Below are 24413 nucleotides of genomic sequence, written 5' to 3'. Positions count from 1 at the left end.
CCATAAAAACCAAAGCAGAAGGAGTATGTTTCCTAGAGTCATGTACTGGTTGGGTGAGTTGGACAAGTTTCTTAATCTCTCTGATCCTCAATGTCCTCATCTGTAAAATGTGAATAATTATACCTTTTTCTTAGGGTGTTGTTAAGAAGTTTAAGTTAGTGTGTACGACAGTTTAAGTTAGTGCTTAAGACAGTACCTGGAATAGAATACTCAACTAATTTTATTTTTAGTGTCTATGTCTTTTAAATATTTTTAAAAGATTTAATCACCCAGGCTTGACTGATGTGATCTTGGCTCACTGCAACTTCCACCTCCTGAGCTCAAGTGATCCTCCCACCTCAGCCTCCAGAGTGAGTATCTGGGACTATAGGCACACACCACCACGACTGGCTAATTTTTATTTCTTTATTTTTTTGTAGAGATGGGGTTTTGCCATGTTGCCCAGGCTGATCTTGAACTCTTGAGCTCAAGCAATTTACCTGTCTCAGCCTCCCAAAGTGGTGGGATTACAGTCATGAGCCACTGCACCTGGCCCTTAAATCTTTCTCATTATTTTTCCTTGCTTATGAATTCTTAGAAAGAACATGTATATTATACAAGTAGTACTTTATCTCACTATAATTACAGATTACTAATCACTGATCTTGTTCCATAAATCTTACTCTAAACTGTTTTAAAATCTAGAAGTTTAGCTCTGAGGCTTCTGAGCCTAATAAAACCCCACAAACCCCTCTTATCTGCCTGCTGGTCTTATCAGGGAGATGCTCTTTTTGTTTCCAGCAGGGCCTAGTTTTCCATTTCTAGACCCAGAACCAACAACAGAATTGCAGATTCCAGCTCCAAAGTTTTTTCTCCTCCCTAAGTCTTTGAGAACCATGATGGCCAATGGGCTGGCAGGACTGCTTTCCGTTATCTTTATCAAAACATTTTAACTTCAATGCCCTTGGCAACTTTTGTTCAGGAGAAACATTTCTTTTGCTAATGAAGAACATGCTCAAAATTATCCCAACCATATTCTTATCTCATGCAGCCCTTCACCTCAGAACACCAAACTTGGGTTCTTAAAAGAGTGCAGTGGCTCACGCCTATAATCCCAGCACTTTTGAGAGGCCGAGGCAGGCAGATCACCTGAGGTCGGGAGTTCGAGACCAACCTGACCAACATGGAGAAACCCCATCTCTACTGAAAATACAAAATTAGGGCATGGTGGCACATGCCTATAATCCCAGCTACTCGGGAGGCTGAGGCAGGAGAATCACTTGAACCCAGGAGGCGGAGGTTGCAGTGAGCCGAGATCGCACCATTGTACTCCAGCCTGGGCAACAAGAGCAAAACTCCGTCTCAAAAAAACAAACAACAAAAAAAGAGGGCCTTAGCCTTTTACTGATTGATTAAAACAAGAAGTTCACACTTTCATCTGGGACAACAAACTATAGCCACCAGCATTTTGAATCAAATTTAAATTCCTGCTTGGGTTTGAATGTGTCCTCCAAAGTTCTTGTGTTGGAAACATCCCCAATGCAACAGCACTGAGAGGTGAGACCTTTAAGAGATGAGTAGGTCATGAGGGTGAAGAGGCAGAGCCCTCCTGGATGGATTAAGGCCTGTATTGCAGGAGTGGCTTCCGGATAAAAGCATGAGTTCAGCCCCTTCCCTCTTTCTCTCATGTGCGTGATCTCTTGACCTTCTGCCTTCCTTCATGGGATGATGCACCGAGAAGCCCTTGCCAGATGCCAGCCCTTCAACCTTGAACGTCCCAATCTTTAGAACTGTAAGAAATAAATCTCTGTTCTTATAAATTACGTAGTTTCAGGAATTCTGTTATAGAAGCATAAAACGAACTAAGATAATCCCTATAGGCAGAGTTTTTGCTGCTACCCAAGTTGCCGTCAGCCCAGTATTTCCCAATTATGGCATACCCAACATCTCACATTGGTACCCACCTGCCCTTGAAGGCATGAGCACCGCTCCCATCCTAGGCTCTGGCTGTTACAACCCATTGTCACAATACAAGCAGCTTATCCCATTATTCAGTTACTTGGCAAGGCCAGGAATGTTTAACACACAAGATGACAGCTTTGCTGTGGGGGATGGAATGAAAAGGAGGAAGGGAAAAGGTCTCCGATTAGATGCCTTACGTCTGGATTAGCTGCCCTAGGGTGGGAATCTAGTGTCTGGGGTGAGGGTGGGTTGAGTGATGCTGGTTGGGAGAGTGTCACTGACTGAGAAACATGACAGATTGCCTCCTGTCACTGTCTCCTGAGTCAGAGTTTGTCCTTGGCGAAGACTGTAATAGAGACCAGCTAGGAACATGGCTCGGGTGACAGTGGAGAAGGAAAAGGGACCTATGGCTGCAGCTTTGGAAAACAGATCAGCTGCACCATGCCTTGTTGCCTTCAAATTAAGTGGACAGTGTTTTGTTTTTTCTAGTGTTTATGACAAACGTAAGCCCCAGTGCGTATGCCGATAAAATCCAAGTTTAAAAATCCCACCCTCAGCCAGGCACGGTGGCTCACGCCTGTAATCCCAGCACTTTGGGAGGCCGAGACCGGCAGATCATGAAGTCAGGAGTTCGAGACCAGCCTGGCCAACATGGTGAAACACTCTCTCCACTAAAAATACACACAAAAAAAGTAGCCGGGTGTGGTGGCACGCACCTGTAGTCCCAGCTACTCTGGAGGCTGAGGCAAGAGAACCGCTTGAACCCGGGAGGCAGAGGTTGCAGTGAGCCAAGACCACGACATTGTACTCCCACCTGGGTGACAAAGTGAGACTCCATCTCAAAAAAAAAAAATAAAAAAAAATTCCCACCCTCTAAGAGGAAAATTGGAAAGAATCTACTCTTTAATTGCTCCTCTGCCAAAGCAATAACTTGAATGGTCCTTATTAGGAATAGCTCATTACTAACAATAATATTAACTATTATAACAACAAGTTATCGCTTGATCCCAGGAGTTCAAGATCAGTCTGGGCAATATAGTGAGACATCATCTCTACATTAAAGAATTTAAAAATTAGCCAGGCATGGTGAAGCACACTTGTAGTCCTAGCTACTTGGGAATCTGAGGCGGGAGGATCGCTTGAGTCCAGGAGTTTGAGGTTACAGTGAGTTATGATTGTGCTACTGCACTCCAGCCTGGAGTACAGAACAAGACCCTGTCTCTAATTAAAAAAAAAGAAGAAGAAGAAGAAGAAGAAAATTCCAGAATTCACAATGTGTTGCTCCAGGCACCCTGCCTCACCCCAACACTGTAAACATCCCCCCTCAAACCAGTCAAGTTGCTTCCCCATCATTTCCAGCCCCCACCCCCACTTCTCCTTTCTTTTACCAGATAAAGGCTTATGTGAGTGGCGTTTATGCTTTCAGGAATAAGCTAAAGTAGGTATAGACTGAAACCTCTTGGAAATATCTGGGGTTACCATTCCAGGCAAGTGAAAGACAAACTAGGAATCAGTAGACACGATTTCCTAGCTGGCATCCTCTTCTTCCTCCCCTTAAGTTGTTCCTGGAGAGGAAAATAATTTCTAGAACGTCATTCCAGACACCATTAGTCAGCAGGAGAATGGAATCTAGAAGGGGACCTGGAGGACAACAGAGAGCAGACTACCCTGGGACCCGCAGGGTGAAGTAGGAAACAAAGGCCCAAGGGATTTTTTTTTGACTGTAGAGTCAAAGTCATGTTCAGGAGACAGGGCATGGTGATTCTCTCTCTGGGTGGGGAAAGGACCATCTTGGGCATGCTTCCTACTGGGGCGGGTGAGGCCAGCAGGCTTAGGGCTACCTTGAAGATGTTCAAGAGACAGCAGAATGATCTTAAAAACCAGAAGGAAGTGATATGTTTAAAATATATCTCTCAGGGAAATGCGTCTATCTTATCAAGGGACTAGCAGCAGCCTGAGACTGACAGACTCCTCAGCAGGTCAAGCTCAGCACCTGGAAAGTAAGCAAAGATTATGGGGCAAACACCCATAAGGAGGAGATTTTTAAAAAGCAGAGGTTGAATGAACTGAATTTACATAGGATGATCCTTAAATATTCAGTCTGTTCTGTTCTGGATTAGGGTAGAGGGTGACCATAGAAATCAACCAAAACATTTGTAAACGTAGCCAATAGATGATTCTGTATTTTCCTAAAGAATCAGACAATGTTAGGGAAATTTGGATGTCTGATTAAGGGTAACTTCTCAAGGACTAATGTCAGGCTACTAACTGACTGTGCTCTTAACGAGCTTGTATCTATATGTTCCCCTCAGCCAGGGCTGCAACAAGGGTTAACCCCCTCCCTGTTACACCCTCCTAATTACTTCAACACCACAACAGGATGTGAAAGTATCTCAGGGACCACATTCTTCTGCTGGCAGAGGAAGAGCTGACTAATAAACATTCGTGGTTATTTAACACACTCCAACAAATAACACACCAAAGCAATAACATTATGCAAATAATCTCTTTGGTTATTTGCCTGATCAGGTTATTTGCCTGATTATTTGCAAAAGAAAATATGGCCAAGAGGGGAAGCATCTGAATCTCCAATCTTGGCTGAGCGGAAAACTCTGCTTGTAAATCACTCTCCATCTGCCCTGCAGAGTGGCCAGCCCAGGATGCTGTGTAGGGGTGGATTCAAGTCTCACCATAGTTACAGAAATCACTTGCTTAAGCTTCTGCTAACTGCTCCCAACCTCCATTCCTTTGTGTGTAAAGTCGGAGCAATGTAGCGACATGTTCAGTGGTGTGAGGTTTGGTAAACCACGGAGTGCTATACACACATTAGACTGAAGCTCTTGACAGATGTGACACAAGGGTGGTGTCACATCATTCAGATACCTACCTAAGTCATACTGTATTACTGTGTGTGTTAGTCTGTTCTTGCATTGCTATAAGGAAATACCTGAGACTGGGTAATTTATAAAGAAAAGAGGTTTCATTTGCTCACGGTTCTGCAGGTTATACAGGAAGCATGGTGCTGGCATCTGCTCAGCTTCTGGGAAGCCTCATGAAGCTTACAGTCATGGAGGAAGGCGAAGGGAAAGCAGGCATGTCACATGGTGAAAGTAGGAGTAAGGAAGACAGAGAGAGAGAGGAGGGGAGGTGCCACACACTTTTAAATGACCAGATCTCACGAGAATTCACTCACTATTCCAAGGACAGTACCAAGCAGATGATGCTAAACCATTCATGTGAAATCTACTCCCATGATCCAATCACCTCCCACCACGCTCCACCTCCCACCACGCTCCACCTCCAATGTGGGGGATTACATTTCAATATGAGATTTGGGCAGGGACAAACATCCAAACTATATCACCACGGCATGGCAATTTATTGACATATTGGCTCACGTTTGTCTTCCCTATACTTCTTTCTTTTCAATTTCAAGGAGGTAGCCAAATCCTTGGCATTTTTTTTATCTCAGCCCTTTTGCAGGGTGGGACAAATAGAAGGATTTGAGGCTTTTTCAGTTTTTTATGAAAATTAAGCTTTAGGGGGCTGAGGTGGGAGATCACTTGAGGCCAGAAGTTGGAGGCCAGCCTGAGCAACATAGCAAGACTCTGACTCTAAAAATAAGATATTATAAATAAATAAGTAAATAAATAGAAAATGAATACCATCATAGAGATTGCGGATGACGTCCCCAAGGAGAGATAAGATGTGTTTTGGGGACAACAAGAAAGGAAGAGAGATTTTCTTCAGGTGTTAGAAAGCCAAAAGAGAAGGATAAATCATAACCAAGAATGTGGCAGTACCCCCTAGGCTGTACTGCCCACCTCAATAGTTAATATCCATGTGTGGTTTTAAAGTTCTAAATTAATTAAAATTAAATATAATTAAAAATTCAGCTCCTCGGTGGCACTAGCTGCATTTTAAGTGCTCTATAGCCTCATATGTCTAGTGGCTACCATACTGGACAGAGTAGTTATGGAACATTTCCATCATTGCAGAAATTTCTACTGGACTGTGAGAAGGTGTCAAGACCTCAGAGGCTGTGAGGAAACATGGGAGATTAGATGCTCCCAACCTCATCACAGAGTCCTATGCACTAAGAACGGGGAATTAGCAGCTGAGCTGCCCAGCATGAGATATACAGGTTGGGACAATGGACTGGTGCTTTAGTGGAAAACAGTGTGGACCCACAGCTGTAAACTAGAGTGACAGTCTTCCCTGTGCCAGAGTGTTTAATAAGACCTAATGACCTTTACACACTTTGGAGGGCAGGGAGAGACACCAAGGGCTGAGTGTGAATTTCCCACCAGCCTAGGAGGATGGGTACTCAGATGATTTAAAGAAAATAAAGTGATGCACACTTGAATATAGGGAACTAAGATTAATACCTGCTACAGTCGTACACAACTATGCATACACATATACACCCCCACACAGACACACCAGTCATCCTTCCTTCTTCAACTGTTTATTTCAACACTGATTTCATAACACTATTTAAACAGCTCAGGCTATCTCCATATCCCAGTAAGTACTTGTCAGTACACAAACAGGTCACAATCCATTATTTAAAAAGCATGGCGGCTGGGTGTGGTGCCTTATGCCTGTAATTCCAGCACTTTGGGAGGCCAAGGTGGGAGGATTACTTGAGCCCAGGAGTTCAAGACCAGCTTGGGCAACATAGTGAGATCCCATTTCTATTTTTAAATAAGAAAACTTTAAAAATAATACAATAAAATAAAAAATAAAAAGCACAGTTCATATTAGAAAATGGGCAAAAGACATGAAGAGACATTTCACCAAAGAGGCTATACGGATGGCAAATAAGCACATGAAAAGATGTTCAGTACCATTAGCCGTTAGGGAAAGCCAAATTAAAGCCATAATATGACCACACACCTATCAGAAAGGCTAAAGAAAAAGATAGTGACCATATAAAATGCTGATGAGGATGCAGAGAAACTGGATCCCTCAAACATTGCTGATAGGAACACAAAATGGTACAACTACTCTGGAAAATAGTTTGGCAGTCTCTTTAAAAAGCAATTATGTAAGTACCATATGACCTAGCAATTGAACTCCTGGGCATTTAATCACAGGGAAAGGAAAACTTATGTTCACATAAAACCCTGCACATGAAGTTTACAGCAGCTTTATTTTTGTTTGTTTGTTTGTTTGTTTGTTTTGAGACAGTCTTGCTCGGTCACCCAGGCTGGAGTGCAGTGGCATGATCTTGGCTCACTGCAAACTCTGCCTCCCAGGTTCAAGCAATTCTCCTGCCTCAGCCTCCTGAGTAACTGGACCTACAGGCATCCACCACCACGCCCGGTTAATTTTTGTATTTTTTTGTGGAGATGGGGCTTTGCTATGTTGTCCAGGCTGGTCGCGAACTCCCGACATCAAGTGATCCGCCTGCCTCGGCCTCCCAGAGTGCTGAGACTACAGGCATGAGCCACAGTGCCTGGCCCATAGCAGCTTTATTTGTAATAGCTAAAAAGTGGAAAGGCCAGAAATGTCCTTCAACAGGTGAATGGTTAAACAAATTGTGATGCATACCTACCATGGAATACTATACAGGCAACAAATTGGATAAATATCCAAGAATTATGTTATTGTAGCCATTCTGTAGAAATAGGATAAATTCCCACCTAAACTATGGTTCAAATGATGACACCAGATAGACATCGAAAGAGTGTGAAAAGGTTTATTACGCACATAATGAGGTTTTCTGGAGACAGCTGGGAAAGCTTCCCAAACAGGTCCAAAAACAGCGTAAGAGAGCAGGGAAAGAAAACTGACTTGAAGTTTTCTTAGGCGTTGGGGAGTGGGGCTGGGGTGAGGGTTCCTGCACACAGGCGGGGGCCCACATGGTTGGAATCTCAGTGCCAACAGAAGAACCCAGGCTTTCTTATCAGCTTGCCCAGATGTGGGGCAAAATGGGAAATGAGAAGAGTGGGGTATAAAAGCTACTAGCAAACATCAGAAAATGGAGTCAGACTCATTATTATTACCCAGGAACCACACAAAGGCCTTTCTCAAAAGAATGCATACTGTATGCATCCATTTATATAACATTTTTGAAATGACATTTCAAAACTGGAGGACATATTTGTTAATGGTTGCCAGGGTATAGGGATGGGGTGGGTGAGGAAGGTAGGAGTGGTTGTAAATGGGCAAAATAAGGGATCCTTGTGATGTTGGAACTGTCAGTATCTTGACTGTGGTGGTGGATACACAAACCTATACAGGTGATAACATTTTATGGAACTGTGCAATTTTCACACATACACACACGTGAGTACAAATAAAGCTGGGAAAATCTGAAAAAGATGGATGGATTGTAGTAATGTCAATCTCCTGGTTGTGATATTATACTAATGTTTTGTAAAATGTTACATTGGGAGAAACTGGGTGAAGAATACACGAGATCTAGCCGTCTGATTTCTTAAAATTGCATATAAACCTAGAATTATCTCCATGAAAATTGCAAATCGAAAAATGCTTAGATCAGAGAGGGAGAGTTCATTCAGATTACAGGACACTCTGGGGTGGGACGAAGAGCAAGAATGAGTGAATGCCTCTGAATTGAGCCAACTGACCCAGTGAACCACCTGGTCTCCCGAAGTCCTCTTCAACAATCCAATGGCCAACCAGAGGTCAGATGTCTTCATTATCATAAAGACCAAAAGTTGGGTAAATGTTTAGAGGGACTAACCTGGAAATACAAAGAAAGGCAAGATAAAATTCAGAGGCAGCCTAATAACTTGAAAACTGATTATTTTTATGATAGATGAATCAATAGCAAAAGAAGATTCATATAAGAATTATCTGATAACCATTTATACAGGGATGTCATTTACAATTCAGTCATTCACAAACTTTTTTAATGAAATGTTCCTTAACAATAGATGAGAGTAGATGTATGAATGGATGGATGTCTGGTGTGTAGCCACAGGCAGCCATCCAAAACCTGAAACGCCTGGAAAATCTATACAAATAGTACATTACACTGCATAATACATCTTTATTTATTGCAATATAAAAGTATGATTTTCAATATTGAATTTTATACTGTGTGTATTTTACCACAATTCAAAGGAAAGGAAGAAATGACTGTTAAAAAGTGGTGACATTTTTTTAAAGTGTCAAAATTAGGATGGGCGTGGTAGCTCACACCCATAATCCAAACGCTTTGGGAGGCAGAGGCAGGAGAATTGCTGGAGCCCAGAAGTTCAAGATTAGCCTGGTCAACAAAGTGATACCCTGTCTCTACAAAAAAAAGTTTTTAGATTTAGCTGGGTGTGTTGGCACATGCCTGTAGTCCTAGCTACTTGAGAGGCTGAGGCAGGAGGATCCCTTGAGCCCAGGAGTTCGAGGCTTCAGTGAGCTGCGATAGTGCCACTGCACTCCAGCCTGGGTGACGGTGCAAGACCCTGCCTCAAAAATAAATAAATAAGTTTCAAAATTGATCATAAAAAATCTCAATAATTTTTATGTTGATTATGTTAAAATAATACTATTCTGGATATCTTGGGTTAAATAAAACATATAATTAAACTTTTTAAAAAACATTGTTTTCAACTAAAAAATTAGTTAAAATTATGTAAAAAAGTTCAGTAATCTGAGCAAAATTTACTCCAAGAAGATGATTACTCTATGGCCCACGTGGTTCCTGGTACGTAACACACTACTGTGATAAGCGTGGCTTTACATTTTCTAAGATCTTCAAATTAAATATTGCTTTTTTTAAAAAAAAGTCTAAACCCCTAACTCTGAGTCTCTGCTGGTACTACTCTGGAACAATTTTGCTAGCTTTCCTCCCCATGAATGTCTATGACTTAAGTCCCAGGTAAAATGTTACCACTATGAATCCATCTAAAATTGCCCAAAACAGGATATATTTCCTCCTTCTCATGTTACTCAACTGCTTAAAATCCCCCAGAGAGTTCCTATTAAGGTAGAATAAAGTCCAGTAGAAGTCAGCCCTCATGCTGACTGGAAAAAGTCTCCTGCTTACATCTTAGATCTTACATTTTGATCACTCACCACCCCTCACACTTCCTCCACCAGAGGAAGACCAGAGGGTCTCCTTTCTGTTCCTCCAATATCCAGCCTGTGTCTACCTTCAGGTATTTGATCTTACAGTTTCATATTCGGGGACTGCTTTTCCTTCTGATTGTGCCTTACCTCTTTCTTATTCTTGACATTCAGATCTCAGCGTGGATGACACTCCTCAGAAAGGCCATCCCTAGACATCCAATCTAAAATCAATATCCAGTCATCCTCTTACCTTACCAGCATGTCATTTTTGGTTTGTCTGTTTATTGTGGCAAAATATACATCACAAATTTTGCCATTTTAACCATTTTTTAAAGTATACAATTCGGTGACATTAAGCATATTTACAATGTTGCACAACCATCACTACTATCCATTTCCAGGACTTTTTCATCTTGCCAAACTAAAATTCTGTACCATTTAATAGTGACACCCTATTACCTGCTTCTCCCAGCCCCTGGTAACCTCTATGATACCTTCTGTCTCTATGAATTTGCCTATTCAAATTACCTCATATCAGTGGAATGACACAATATCTGTCCTTTTGTTTCTGGCTTATTTCACTTAGCATAATGTTGTCACGGTTTATTTATGTTGTAACATGTACCAAAATGTCATTCTTTCTTAAGACAATAGTATTTCATTGTATGTACTTATCACATTTCATTTATCCATTCGTGTGCCAGTAGACCTTTGGGTTGTTCCCACCTTTTGGCTATAGTGAATAATGTTCATATGAACGCCAGTGCCCAAAATATCTGTTTAAATCCCTGTTTTCAATTCTTTAGGTGTTATACCTAGTGGTAGATCATATGGTAATTCTATGTTTAACTTTTTGAGAAGACACCACACTGTCAGCTGGATCATAAGGTAATTCTATGTTTAACTTTTTGAAAAGCCATCATACTGTCAGCATGGCATTTTTATAATGTGTTTGTCTGCTCTACTAGGATGAAACCTTCACGAGAGCAGGGACCACATCTGTCTTCTCCATTCCTGAATCTCCAGTACCTTGAACAATATTTGGCACATAATGGACACTCAAAAAGTTTTCGTTAGATGAAAGAATGAGGTAGATCTTCAGTAATTGTTAGTGTTCTTTCTCCTTTCCACTTTGTTCTTCTTAAATAGATTGCAAAACCCCCCACTTGAGGGCAAGGATAGCTGTCATTCACCTGTGTAACCATAGCATTTAGCACATAGAAGGTACTCAATACATCCTTGTCCAGTTGAAGAAAATATCCATTCTTTGTTGTAGTTTGGTGTTCTTGGCTGAACTCAGTAGGATTGACCTGATAATTATGTGTTAGTAAGAATGGAGGACGTTTTTCAGTAAGAATGGAGTTAGCAAAGAAAAATGCCCAGTGTAGCCCCAGGACAGTTGCCTTCCAGGAAACTCTGACTTTCTTTTTTTCTTATTCTTTTTTCTTTGGCTTCTGGACTCTAGCATTTTCCAGAACCAAGACTGAAAGAAGCAAAAACAGCTGAAAAATCTCTTAAATTACATCATCTTCCTCTGGGAATTCAGGCATGTTGGCTGGGTTTGACTAAAACATAACCAGGATTTGAGTCTTGGGTTCAGATAAAATATAAGTTCAAATCTCTCAAGCCTTCTTAAAAGATCAGATAACAGTCCTTAGGTTAAAAATTCTTTAGGCCAGGCATTGTGGCTCATGCCTGTGTCCCAATACTTTGGGAAGCCAAGGTGGGAGAATTTCTTGAGCCCAGGCATTTGAGCCTCCAGTGTACTATGGTTGTGCCACTGCACTCCAGCCTGGGTGACAGAGTGATAGCCTATCTCTAAAAAAATATATATATATATATATATTTTTAAATAATTTCCAAACAACTTTGATCCTGATAATTCTGATTATTCATGCCATATAATAATAATATATTTACAACCCTACATTATATGAAATAAATTATACGCAGATACCATATGATACATTTTATGTGTAATAATTGGTTGATGAATGCAGTTGGAAAATCCAAGTTAAAGAATGCCCAAATAATACTTGGAAACATTGCCATGAGGTTTCTCCCCCAATTCGGTTACAGCAGGTAGCTTGTCAGGTATGAGCAGGGCAGGAGAGGGCTCGATACACACCAGGAGTGTTGGGTGACCATCAGGTGATGGTCAGGCAGTTGTTAACTGCTTCTCTAAAGTAATAATTGCTCACAGCCAGTGCCAGGGAAAGGCAGTCTCCTAATGGACAGAAAACACCTGAAACTGATCAGCAGCTTCCCAGTAAGACCTCAGGAGTGGGGAGAAGTAAGGCAAGATCCCGGAAGGAGGCCAATGTATAAAACCCCAAGCCAAGAGATCAAGCTGTGTACTTGGTTTCTCAAGTCACCCACTTGGCCCTCTTCCAAGTTGTATATTCCTTCCTTTCTTTCCTCTCCTTCCTGTTCTAAAGTTTTCAATAGACTTTCACTCCCGCTCTGACACTTGCCTCAGTCTCTCCTTCTGCCTTATGCCCCTCAGTCTAATTCTTTTAGGGAAGTCCACCCTGAAGTTGCTGCACACTCCTATGGATTCGCCTCAGGTAACTCGGATCTCTGCCACCGCTAACGTCCCGTCAGTTCCTGCTACTTAGAAACACTCTTTATTTCAGCCAGCAGTGTTTGAGGCAAAGGTCAGTGAGAAGACCCTCCTAGAATCTCAACATTTGCAGGCTCCAAAAGCCTGCTAGACTATGGCCATTTTCCCAGTGACACCTACCTATCCTCCTGGCCATTGCCTGCCCTCTCTATTGGGGCCAGCTGCCTCTACCCAGCTGCTGTCTCCATATTATGCGGCCTGTGTGATTCCCAGATAGGCAGCCTCAGGTCTTCAGCCTTTGCTTACAGAGCTTCAATCACCCCTCCAATTCCACATCTCTCTGTACTTAAAAATCTCCTAACACTTTATCACTGCCAGGGCTCTGCCTTGAGGGATGGCCATTCCAGTAGGGCCATATTCTTGGAGGAGCTTTGCTTACTTAGCGAGTACTGTCTGACTATTGGGTGTAAGGAGGGTGTGTAAGATAACTGTCAAAGGAAACACTAGTTTCAGGAAGTTGGCAAGCAGTGCAACAGAGAATAGGGAATTATGAAAAACTCCAGACGTGTCTTAAAACCACACCAAAGTCTGCTCCAAATTCCTGGTTTCTAATGTGCCCTTTTTTTTCTTTAAAAAATTGTTTGCAATTTTTTTCCCGATCATGTGTTGTTACCTCATGGACTGAAGCAGACAGGTGAGAAATGAGGAAGAAGGAGCGTAAACCCCAGTTCACGTGATGCAACAGTGAGGAGAAACTGAGTAGAGTAAGAGAGAAGGGTCAAGAGGAGCAGAAGGCAGAACTGGAAACCAGTGGGGACTATGGGGACGATAACCTCGGGTGGAACTTCATCTGCCATCCCTCCTCCCCCCACTTTCCTGTGCTGCTGCTGGTCACTGTCCTGGGGCAAAGGCTGTCTAATATGAACAGGAGGGAAGATGCAGTTGGCTCATCCACACATGCTAGGCTGCTTCCTGCCTCAGGCCTCACGTAGTTTCTGGTCTAATCATGGGACAGAAATTCTTCCCAGGATGTACCAAAGCAAGCAGTAAAACAAAGACTCTCCTCATGCTCTCTCACTGTTAGAGTCTAGCAAACATTCAGGCTCAGAGTAGAGATACAAAGGGCCTCAGAGTGCCTGGTACATCCTGGGTAGCCAATTCATATGAGTCCCATGAATGCATAGATAAATGGTTAGATGGTTACATAAAAGAGAGGACTAGATAGAATCAGTGGCATGCTAGTGAATGTTTAACAACTGGATCTACAAAAATCCATGATTTGTAATGGCTGCCAACTTGATTTTCAGGATATTTATACTACCACATGGCCAACTTCAAGCCATTATTGGATACAGAGTTGGGAAGAGGTGTTCCAGCACATCACTACATGGATGGATGGATGGATGGATGGACAGATGGACAGACAGAGGGAGGACGGGAGGGATGGAGGGAGGAATAGATGAATGGATAGATGATTGATGGACAACAAAGTTTCCATAGTTCATCTTTTTAAATCATTTTTAGTTCTGGTACATGTTCTAGTACATGTGCAGGATGTGCAGGTTTGTTACATAGATAAAAGTGTGCCATAGTGGTTTACTGCACCTATCAACTCATCACCTAGGTATTAAGCCCAACATCCATTAGCCATCCTTCCTAATACTCTCTCTCCCTCCACCCCACCCCGCCAACAGGTCCCAGTGTGTGTTGCTCCATTCTCTGTGTCCATGCGATCCCATTGTTCAGCTCCCAGTTATAAGTGAGAACATGTGGCCTTTGGTTTTCTGTTCCTGTGTTAGTTTGCTGAGGATAATGGCTTCTGGCTTCATCCACATCCCTGCAAAGAACATTATCTCATTCATTATATGGCTGCATAGTATTCCATGGTATATTTATACCACATTTTCTTTATCCAGTTTATCACTGATGGGCATTTGGGTTGATTCCATGTCCTTGCTATTCTGAATAGTGCTGCAATGAACATATGTGTGCATGTATCTTTGTAACAGAAAGATTTATATTCCCTTTGGTATATACCCAGTAATGGGATTGCTGGGTCAAATGGTATTTCTGGTTCTAGCTCTTTGAGGAATTGCCATACCATCTTCCATAATGGTTGAACTAATTTACATTCCCACCAACAGTGTAAAAGTGTCCCTATTTCTCTGCAACCTTGCCAGCATCTGTTGTTTCTTGACTTTTTAATAATGGCTATTCTGACTGGCATGAGACGGTATCTCATTGTGGTTTTTTGATTTGCATTTCTCTAATGATTGGTGATGTTGAGCTTTTTTTCATATGTTTGTTGGCTGCATGAATTCTTCTTTTGAGAGGGGTCTGTTCATGTCCTTTGCCCACCTTTTAATGAGGTTGTTTGTTTTTTCTTGTAAATTTGAATTCCTTGTGGACACTGGATATTAGACCTTTGTTGGATGGATAGACTGTGAAGATTTTCTCCCACTCTGTTTGTTGCCTGTTCACTCTGAGTTTCTTTTACTGTGCAGAAATTCTTTAGTTTAATTAGACCCCATTTGTCAATTTTTGCTTTTGTTGCAATTGCTTTTGGTGATTTTATCATGAAATCTTTGCCCATGCCTCTGTCCTGTATGGTATTGTCTAGACTTTCTTCCAGAGTTTTTATAGTTTTGCGTTTGACATTTAAGTCTTTAATCCATCTTGAGTTAATTTTTGTATAAGGTGTGAGGAAGTGGTCCAGTTTCAATTTTCTGCAAATGGATAGCCAGTTTTCCTAGCACCATTTTTTGAATAGGAAGTCCTTTCCCCATTGCTTGTTTTTGTCAAGTTTGTTGAAGATCAGATGGTTGCAGATGTGTGATCTTATTTCTGAGTTCTCTATTCTGTTTCATTGGTCTATGTGTCTGTTTTTGTACCAGTACCATGCTGTTTTGGCTATTGTAGCCTTTTAGTATAGTTTGAATGAAGTCTGGTAGGGTGATGCCTCCAGCTTTGTTCTTTTTCTTTAGAATTGACTTGGCTATATGGGCTCTTTTTTGGTTCCATATAAATTTTAAAATAGTTTTTTCTAATTTTGTGAAGAATGTCAATGGTAGTTTAATGGGAATAGCATTGAATCTATAAATTATTTTGGGTAGTATGGCCGTTTTCATGATATGGATTCTTTCTATCCATGAGCACGGAATATTTTTTCATTAGTTTGTGTCCTCTCTGGCTTCCTTGAGCAGAAGTTTATAGTTCTCCTTGAAGAGGTCCTTCATTTCCCTTGTTAACTGTATTCTTAGGTATTTTACTCTCTTTGTAGCAATTGTGAATTGAAAAGGATGGATTCCTTTCTAACACATTCTATGAGGCCAGCATTGTCATGATACCAAAACCTGACAGAGATACAATTCTCTTTGTAGCAACTGTGAATGGGAGTTCACTCACAATTTGGCTCTCTGCTTGCCTGTTGTTGGTGTATAAGAATACTTATGACTTCTGCACATTGATTTTTTATTCTGAGACTTTGCTGAAGTTGCTTATCAGCTTAAGAAGTTTTGGGCTGAGACAATGGGGTTTTCCAAATATAGGATCATGTCATCTGCAGACAAAGACATTTTGACTTCCTCCCTTCATATTTGAATACCTTTATTTCTTTCTTTTGCCTGATTGCCCTGGCCAGAACTTCCAATACTAAGTTGAATAGGAGTGGTGAGAGAGGGCATCCATATCTTGTGCCAGTTTTCAAGGGGAGTGTTTCCAGCTTTTGTCCATTCAGTATGCTATTGGCTGTGGGTTTGTCATAAATGGCTCCTATTCGTTTGAGGTATGTTCCTTCAATACCTAGTTTATTGAGAGTTTTTTAACAAAAAGGGATGCTGAATTTTATCAAAGTCCTTTATGTGTCTATTGAGATAATCATGTGGTTTTTGTCTTTAGATCCGTTTATGTGATGGATTACATTTATTGATTTGCGTATGTTGAACCAGCCTTGCATCCCAGGAATAAAGCTAACTTGATCATGGTGGATAAGCTCCTTGATGTGCTGCTGGATTCGGTTTGCCAGTATTTTATTGAGAATTTTTACATTGATGTTCATCAGGGATATTGGCCTGAAGTTTTCTTTTTTTGTTTTATCTCTGTCGGTTTTTGGTATCAGGCCTGGCCTCATAGAATGAGTTAGGGAGGAGTCCCTCCTTTTCAATTGTTTGGAATAATTGCAGAAGAAATGGTATCAGCTCCTCTTTGTAGGAGCTGAGTTCTGGTAGAATTCAGCTGTAAATCCATCTGGCCCTGGGCTTTTTTTGGTTGGTGGGCTATTTATTACTGCCTCGATTTTGGAACTTGCTATTGGTCTATTCAGGGATTCAACTTCTTCCCAGTTCAGTCTTGGGAGGGTGTATGTGTCTAGGAATTTATCCATTTCTTCTAGATTTCCTAGTTTATTTGCATAAAACTGTTTATTCTCGGATAGTTGTATTTCTGTGGGATCCGTGCTGATACCTCTATCATTTTTTATTGTGTCTATTTGATTCTTCTCTTTTTTCTTCTTTATTAGTCTAGCTAGTAGTCTATGTATCTTATTAATTTTTTCAAAAAACCAGCTCCTGAATCCATTGATTTTTTTGAAGGGTTTTTTTGTGTCTCTATATCCTTCAGTTCTGCTCTGATCTTGGTTATTTCTTGTCTTCTGCTAGCTTTGGGGTTTGTCTGCTTTTTGTTCTCTAGTTATTTTTGTTGTGGTGCTAGGGTGTAGATTTGAGATCTTTCTAGTTTTTTGATGTGAGCATTTAGTGCTATAAATCTCCCTCTTAACACTGCTTTAGCTGCATCCCAGAGATTCTGGTACGTTTTCTTTGTTTTCATTGGTTTCAAAGAACTTCTTAATTTCCACCTTAATTTCATGTTTTACTAAGGAGTCATTCAGGAGCAGGCTGTTAAAGTTCCATGTGGTTGTGTGATTTTGAATAAGTTTCTTACTTTTGAGTTCTAATTTGATTGTGCTGTGGTCTGAGAGACTGTTATGGTTTCAGTCTTTTGCATTTGCTGAGGAGTGATTTACTTCTAATTATGGGATCAGTTTTGGAGTAAGTGTCATGTGGTACCAAGAAGAATGTATATTCTGTCCTTCTGGGGTGGAAAGATCTGTAGGTGTAGATATCTATCAGGTCAACTTGGCCCAGGGCTGAGTTCAAGTCCTGAATATCTTTGTTAATTTTCTGTCTCGATGTTCTATCTAATATTGACAGTGGAGTGTTAAAGTCTCCCACTATTATTGTGTGGGAGTCTGAGTTTCTTTGTAGGTCTCTAAGAACTTGTTTTATGAATCTGGGTGCTCCTGTATTGGGTGCATATATATTTAGGATAGTTAGCTCCGCTTTACCAATATGTAATGCCCTTCTTTGTCTCTTTTGATCTTTGTTGATTTAAAGTCTATTTTGTCAGAAACTAGGATTGCAACCCCTGCTTTTTGCTGTTTCCCATTTGCTTGGTAAATTTTCTTCCATCCTTTTATTTTGAGTCAATGTGTGCCCTTGCATGTGAGATGGGTCTCTTGAATATAACACACCGCTGGATTTTGACTCTTTATCCAGCTTGCCACTTCGTGTCAGTACATCCTTTTTTGATCCACTCATCTGCATCTGGTCGAGAGACCTCTCTGGTCACCAGTCCCAGATACTAACCAATACCCAAGTACACACTGCCCAGGGAACCAATGTAAGAAAGGGAGGGGAAAGGGGCACATCCATTCCTACTGCAGGTTCCCTCATTCTGATGGCTGCAATGCTGTAAAAATCTATAGAGAGGATAGAGTAGGTGCTATCTGTCTCATGGACAGATAAGAAAATTGAGATCTAAGCAGAATGTGACTTGCTAAGGGTACAGAACAGCCAGTTGGTGGCTGTGGAAGGTCATAGAATCTAGGTCATCTAACCCCTAAAGTGGAACATGCTGCTACAGATGGCCTCTGCTGCTATGGTACCAGAGCTAGCAATGAGTATGAACTTCACTTCTTCATTTATTAATCATCTAGTTGATGTATTGGAGAAGAGTGCTTTCCTTCTTGTCCCAAAGTGGGCATGCAGCAACCAAATTAGCAAAGCAGGCGAATGCTGAACAAATGCCCAATGTAGATGAAGGCCTTTTTAAAAGCCTCAGCCTCTCCTAGGCCCCTTTTCCTCCATCAGGATGCTCTCATTATTCCCAAAGAGTCTGTTTTGGTAGAGATGGTGGGGAGAGCTATAGTGCTGGCCCTCAGACGGGAGGACACCACCATAAGCTCATTTGTGTTATATTATACAATTCCTTTTTCAAATAACATCATAAGAAAAGCGTTATACTCTACACATAATTTTATCCGCTTTGTCACAGATATTTGCATTTTAAAAGGGGAAGACCAAGACTCTGGAATGGTTCTCTCCAGTAGCAATGCTGTTGGCATTATCTGGAAATGACAAGGGACTCTGGAGATCAGAGGTCTTTCCAGCTGGTGGTTGACACCCACTCTGACCACAAGGCCAGCCTAGTAGCCAAGAAGAGATTTGGGAGGGAGGAAAGGGCCAGAGGGATCCCAAGGCTTTCCTTATAAATGAAACACAGGGGAGAGACAGGCACAGAGAAAAGGAGGAGGAAATGTGACTATGGAGACAGAGATAGGAATGATGCAGTCACATGCCTGGGAAACCACCAGAAGTTGGAAGAGGCAAGGAATGGAATCTCTCCTAAAGCCTCTGAAGGGAGTTCAGCCCTACCAATATCTTTATTTCAGACTTTTGGCCTCCAAAATTGTGAGAGAATAAATCTGTTTTAAGCCACCTAGTTTGTGACAATTTGTTACAGCAGCCCTAAGACACCAATACAACGTGTGTCCCATTGGAATGGTTATTATTAAAAAGTCAAAAAAACAACAGGTGCTGGTGAGGCTGCAGAGAGAAGGGAATGTTATACACTGTCAGTGGGAATGTAAATTAGTTTAGCCACTGTGGAAAGTAGTTTGGAGATTTCTGAAAGAACTTAAAGCAGGCTAGGCGCGGTGGCTCACACCTATAATCCCAGCACTTTGGGAGGCTGAGGCGGGTGGATCATGAGGTCAGGAGTTGGAGACCAGCCTGGCCAATATGGTGAAACCCTGTCTCTACTAAAAATACAAAAAATTAGCTGGGCATGGTGGCGCGTGCCTGTAGTCCCAGCTGCTCAGGAGGCTGAGGCAGGAGAATCTCTTGAACCTGAGAGGCAGAGGTTACAGTGAGCTGAGATTGTGCCACTGCACTCTAGCCTGAGTGACAGAGCGAGACTCCATCTCAAAAAATAAAAATAAATTAATTAAATTAAAGCAGAGCTATCATTCAGCCTAGCAATCCCATTACTGGGTATATACCCAAAAGAAAACAAATTGTTTAATCAAAAAAGACACATATATTTGTATGTTTATTGTAGCACTATTCATAATAGCAAAGACATGGAATCAACCTAGGTGCCCATCAACAGTGGATTAAATGAAGAAAATGTAGTATATATACACCACAGAATACTACACAAACATAAAGAATGAAATAATGTCCTTTGCAGCAACATAGATGCATCTGGAGGCCATTATCCTAAGTGAATTAATGCAGGAAAAGAAAACCAAATACTGCATGTGCTCATTTATAAGACGGAGCTAAACATTGGGTATTCATGGACATAAAGATGGCAACAATAGACACTAGGGATTACTAGAAGGAGAGGGAGGGAGAAGGGTGAGAGTTAAAAACTATTGAGTATTATGCTCACTACCTGGGTGATAGGATCAATCGTACCCCAAAACTTAGCATCACGTAATACCCCTGAATCTAAAATAGAAGTTGAAATTGTATTTTTAAAATACAATTTGGGTGAATTTTCTCCCCAGAGAGCCCATTAAAGACTCAGTCTCAAGGTTTTAACTGGGGGCTATTTACATAGGCACCTTTGCCTAACGTGTACCAAAATTCCAGAACTTCCAGAAGGAAAGCAGATGTTTAGCATAAAGCACATTATTTGCATAAACAGTCTAGACACAGCAAACCACCCTCATAAGTTAGAGAACAGTGAGAAGACTCCAAAAATCCAAGTTCCCAGACACCATCCAAGAGCCAACCTTCCAAGCAGGCCTTTCTAAGAATAGCAACCTCAGATTGGCTGTGTTAACTCTTTTCTGCACATAAGGGTACAGTCTCATGAGTTTTGACAAATGCATATGGTCACACAATCAGCACCACAAGGCATATTTTCCAAAAGTTTCCTTATGTCCCTTTGCAGTTAGACACTTGCCCTGGCTCCATGCAAAGACTGATCTGCTTTCTAACACTAAAGTTTTGCTTTTTCTAAAATTTCATACAAATGAAATAATATAGCCTGTAATCTTTTGCATTTGGCATCTTTCACTTAGTATTGTGCTTTTGAGATTACCATATTGTTGCATGTATCAGCAGTTTATTCCTTGGTAATGCTGAGTAGGGTTGCTTTGTATGAACATGAAACAATTTACTTATCATTTATTTTTATGGCTCTTTTATGGCAATTATCTGTTTTATAGCTCATGCCTCTGTTGCCTCTCTAGGAAATGTTTGTCTACCCAAGATCACAAGGATTTCTTATCTTTTCTTTAAGTTTTATAGTTTTAACTCTTATCATTAGGTCTATGATCCATTTCAAGTTGAGTTTTCCATAATAGATGAAGACTGAAATTCATTTTTTTCCTATGTAGATATCCAATTGTTTCTACACCATTTGTTGAGAGGACTATACCTTCCCCATGGAATTACCTTAGCACCTCTGTCAAAATCAGTTAGCAATATATGAATGGGCCCAGGTTAAGAATAGTTTTTTCAGTAGTCTATATGTCTATCCTTTCACCAACACCACACTCTGTGGATTACTGTAGCTTTAAGTCTAGAAATCGGGTCATATAAGTGTTCCAAGTTCGTTCATCTTTCTCAAATTTGTTTTGGCTCTTCCAGGTTCTTTGTATTTTCATATACACTTTAGAACATGATCATCAATTTCTACAAAAAATACTGCTGAGATTTTGACAGGTAATGAGTTGGATCTATAGATCATTTTGTGGATAATTAATGTCTTAACAATATTCAATCTTCAATCTTCCAATCTATGAACATGGTATATCTGTCAATTTATTAAGGCCCAGACTCTATTCTTAACTTGCTGTAGTTTCTCCCCACTCCAATCTCCAGGATCAGTCAAGAAAGACTTTTTACTTTTATTTTTACTTTTGAGCCCCATTAGGTTCTGAAGGAAAGATTTCTTATACAGTGAGTTACAGGAAAATATATTAATGATTTAATGTAAATTAAAATGTCTACAATTAAAATTCCTTCCAGAGAAAATTGCAACTTTCACTTACCTATATTCCTGAAGGTAGATCCCTTAGAATTTTTTTCATAGAGCAGCCGACTATCAATAATATATTTGTGGGGCCAGGCATAGTGGCTCATGCCTGTAATCCCAGTACTTTGGGAGGCTGAGGCGTGTGGATCACATGAGGTCAGGGGTTTGAGACCAGCCTGGCCAACATGATGAAACCCGGTCTCTACTAAAAATACAAAAATTAGCAAGGTGTGGTGGCACACGCCTATAATCCCAGCTACTTGGGAGGCTGAGGCATGAGAATCGCTTGAACCTGGGAGGTGGAGGTTGCAGTGAGCTGAGATTGCTCCACTGCACTCCAGCCTAGATGACAGAGTGAGACTCCATCTCAAAAACAAAAACAGAATTGTGATTTTTCTAGGGTAAGGACTCAGCAAGAGGCAGAAATGAGAACAAACCCACGTCATTATCATCTTACATTGAAAATCCACTGCTCTCCTATGTTGGCAAGTGTAGAACATTTATCCAAAGGCAAAGCTCAGTCTCCCTATGTTATTCATGCATTGCCCTGTTACAGTCAAGCCAATTGTGGGAGACAGTGTCAGTGTCCTCGGATTGAATTGTTGACTGACCACAAGTTAATTTAGTCATGTTTTGTTCATTAAGCTTCACGATCATCATCTCAGTAATTTTACCAGTGAAAGTGTCCGTGGGTCCAGAGCTAACCAGTGCCAGGCAACCATTGAGAATTAGATCTGTCTTGCACATTCAGGGAAGCCATGTGTCCACAAATGGAGAGCAATTTGTTGTCCATGGGCTTTGATTTCACAAGTGCTAGGAGTTAGTTACTTCTAGAAGAATTCCTGGCACCTCTGTAACACCCATCTGAGAAGAGTGTCGTGAGGTGGAGGCAGCTCAGGTGAGATGAAGAAAAGAAGGGAAGGTTGATTCTGGAGTTGTGGAGGCCAAATTCGGCAGATCTCACATGAAGTGTCCCAGGTCACCATGTGTGGGAAGGAAGTGGGAGGCGAGGGTATAGTAAAGGGGCAGATGAAGAAAAGCAATAGCTCCCCTCTGGCACATTTCCCAAGTGAAGCCTTTTGAACAATTTTGAAAGTGATATGTTGCCATCACATTTGTTAAAGACCATAAGAGCCACTAGCCTGACTTTTGCTTTCACAGGGCACCTTATGATTAATAAACAATTGAAATATGGACAGAGTAAGCAAAGTACAGAAGGTAGTTATATCAGCCAGGATAGGCCAAGATATTTGTTAGCAACAAACAATCTCCAAAACTCGTAGTGGCTTAAAACAACAAATATTTATTTCTTGCACATGCAAAGCTCATTGGGGGTCAGGGTGACTCTCCTCAGGTGACAGCTCAATGATCCAGGATTCTTTGCTCTTGTGGCACCTCTGTCTAAAAACACATTTGTATGCACTGCTCTGACAACTGTGACTGGGGCAAAGTGTGGAAGCTCTTAATTCTTATGCCAATGCAAGTCACATGGTTACACCTAACTTCGAAAGGGCAGAAAAGATATTTCTCTTTCTACTAGGAGGTAAAGGAGAACATTAGTGACATCTACCACAGTAGTCAAAGGGGGACATCATTTTGAGTGCTCACAGTGCCACCAACAAATGGTGCAAGCTTTCCTGCCCACCTTCCCTTGCATGGCTCTGTGCTCAGCACTTTGCAGCCAAAGGTCCAAGACAGGCTGAGCATGGTGGCTCACACCTGTAATCCCAGCACTTTGGGAGGCCAAGGCAGGAGGATTGTTTGGGCCAAGGAGTTCGAGACCAGCCTGGGCAATATAGCAAGACCCCATTGCTACAAAAAGTAATAATACAATTTAAAAATTAGCCAGGAGATGTACAGCAGGCCTGTAGTCCCAGCTACTCTGGGGGCTGAGGTGGGAAGATTGCTTGAACCCAGGAGGTTGAGGCTGTAATGAACTATGATCACACCACTGCACTCTAGCCTGGCTGACAGAACAAAAGCGTGTCTCAAAAAAACAAAACAAAACAAAAAAAAAACCCAAAAAACAAAAAAGCAAGGTCTGGGTCAAATCTCAGAATGTGGTCAAGAGTGGTACCTTTAGGTGTTTATTCCTGTAATTTATGGAAGCTGACAGTGCTTCTGAGACAGGGAGAGAGATGAGGACATCAGGGGAAGGAAGAAAAAAGGAGAAGTGAGGGGGGATGGGGAGGATGAGCTGAACTTCACTTACTTTACTCTGTTTCTTTAGCTTTCACTAAGCCATGCCAGTGAGGGGAGAATTCATATCAAATGAACATTTACTCATCATGCACCAAGTGGCGAGCGTCAGGCAGGAGATAACCATGCCATGCTTCCTGCCCTCATGGAGCTCAGGATCTAGGGAGGAAGGGAGACCAGTAAGCAAGCAACGGATTACACACTAGCCGTGTGGACAGGATGCCGAAGCAGGGGACTGTCTGAGAAAAAAGGGCTTGGGTTTGAAACATGTCATCATACTTTTTTTCAAAAATGTATTTTCCTTCCCATTTAATGTCTGCTTAGTTGGATATCTAAATAGGTT

At 41.3% G+C, this 24413-nt stretch overlaps 1 protein-coding gene across 3 annotated transcripts in view; it reads right to left on the bottom strand.

Annotated features, from left to right (window-relative positions):
- The window catches only part of SNX18 (sorting nexin 18), a 130247-nt gene that overhangs the window by 32947 nt on the left and 72887 nt on the right, over positions 1-24413 (bottom strand). For 2 of the 3 annotated variants that reach the window (XR_007058577.1, XR_001741987.2), the window contains exon 2: positions 8553-8656. Coding sequence is in view for 1 of the 3 variants with exons in the window: in XM_017008997.2 (XP_016864486.1) it covers positions 8652-8656 (5 nt within the window). In the remaining 2 variants the exon portion in view is untranslated. Of the gene's footprint in view, positions 1-7631; positions 8657-24413 lie in introns of those variants that run through there. The other variant, XM_017008997.2, reaches the window with a different exon arrangement.

The sequence above is a fragment of the Homo sapiens genome, chromosome 5 (assembly GCF_000001405.40).
Source record: "Homo sapiens chromosome 5, GRCh38.p14 Primary Assembly".
In the NCBI taxonomy this organism is placed as follows: Eukaryota; Metazoa; Chordata; class Mammalia; order Primates; family Hominidae; genus Homo; species Homo sapiens.
The sequence above is the reverse complement of the archived record's forward strand: the minus strand, read 5'-3'. Positions and strand labels throughout refer to the sequence as shown.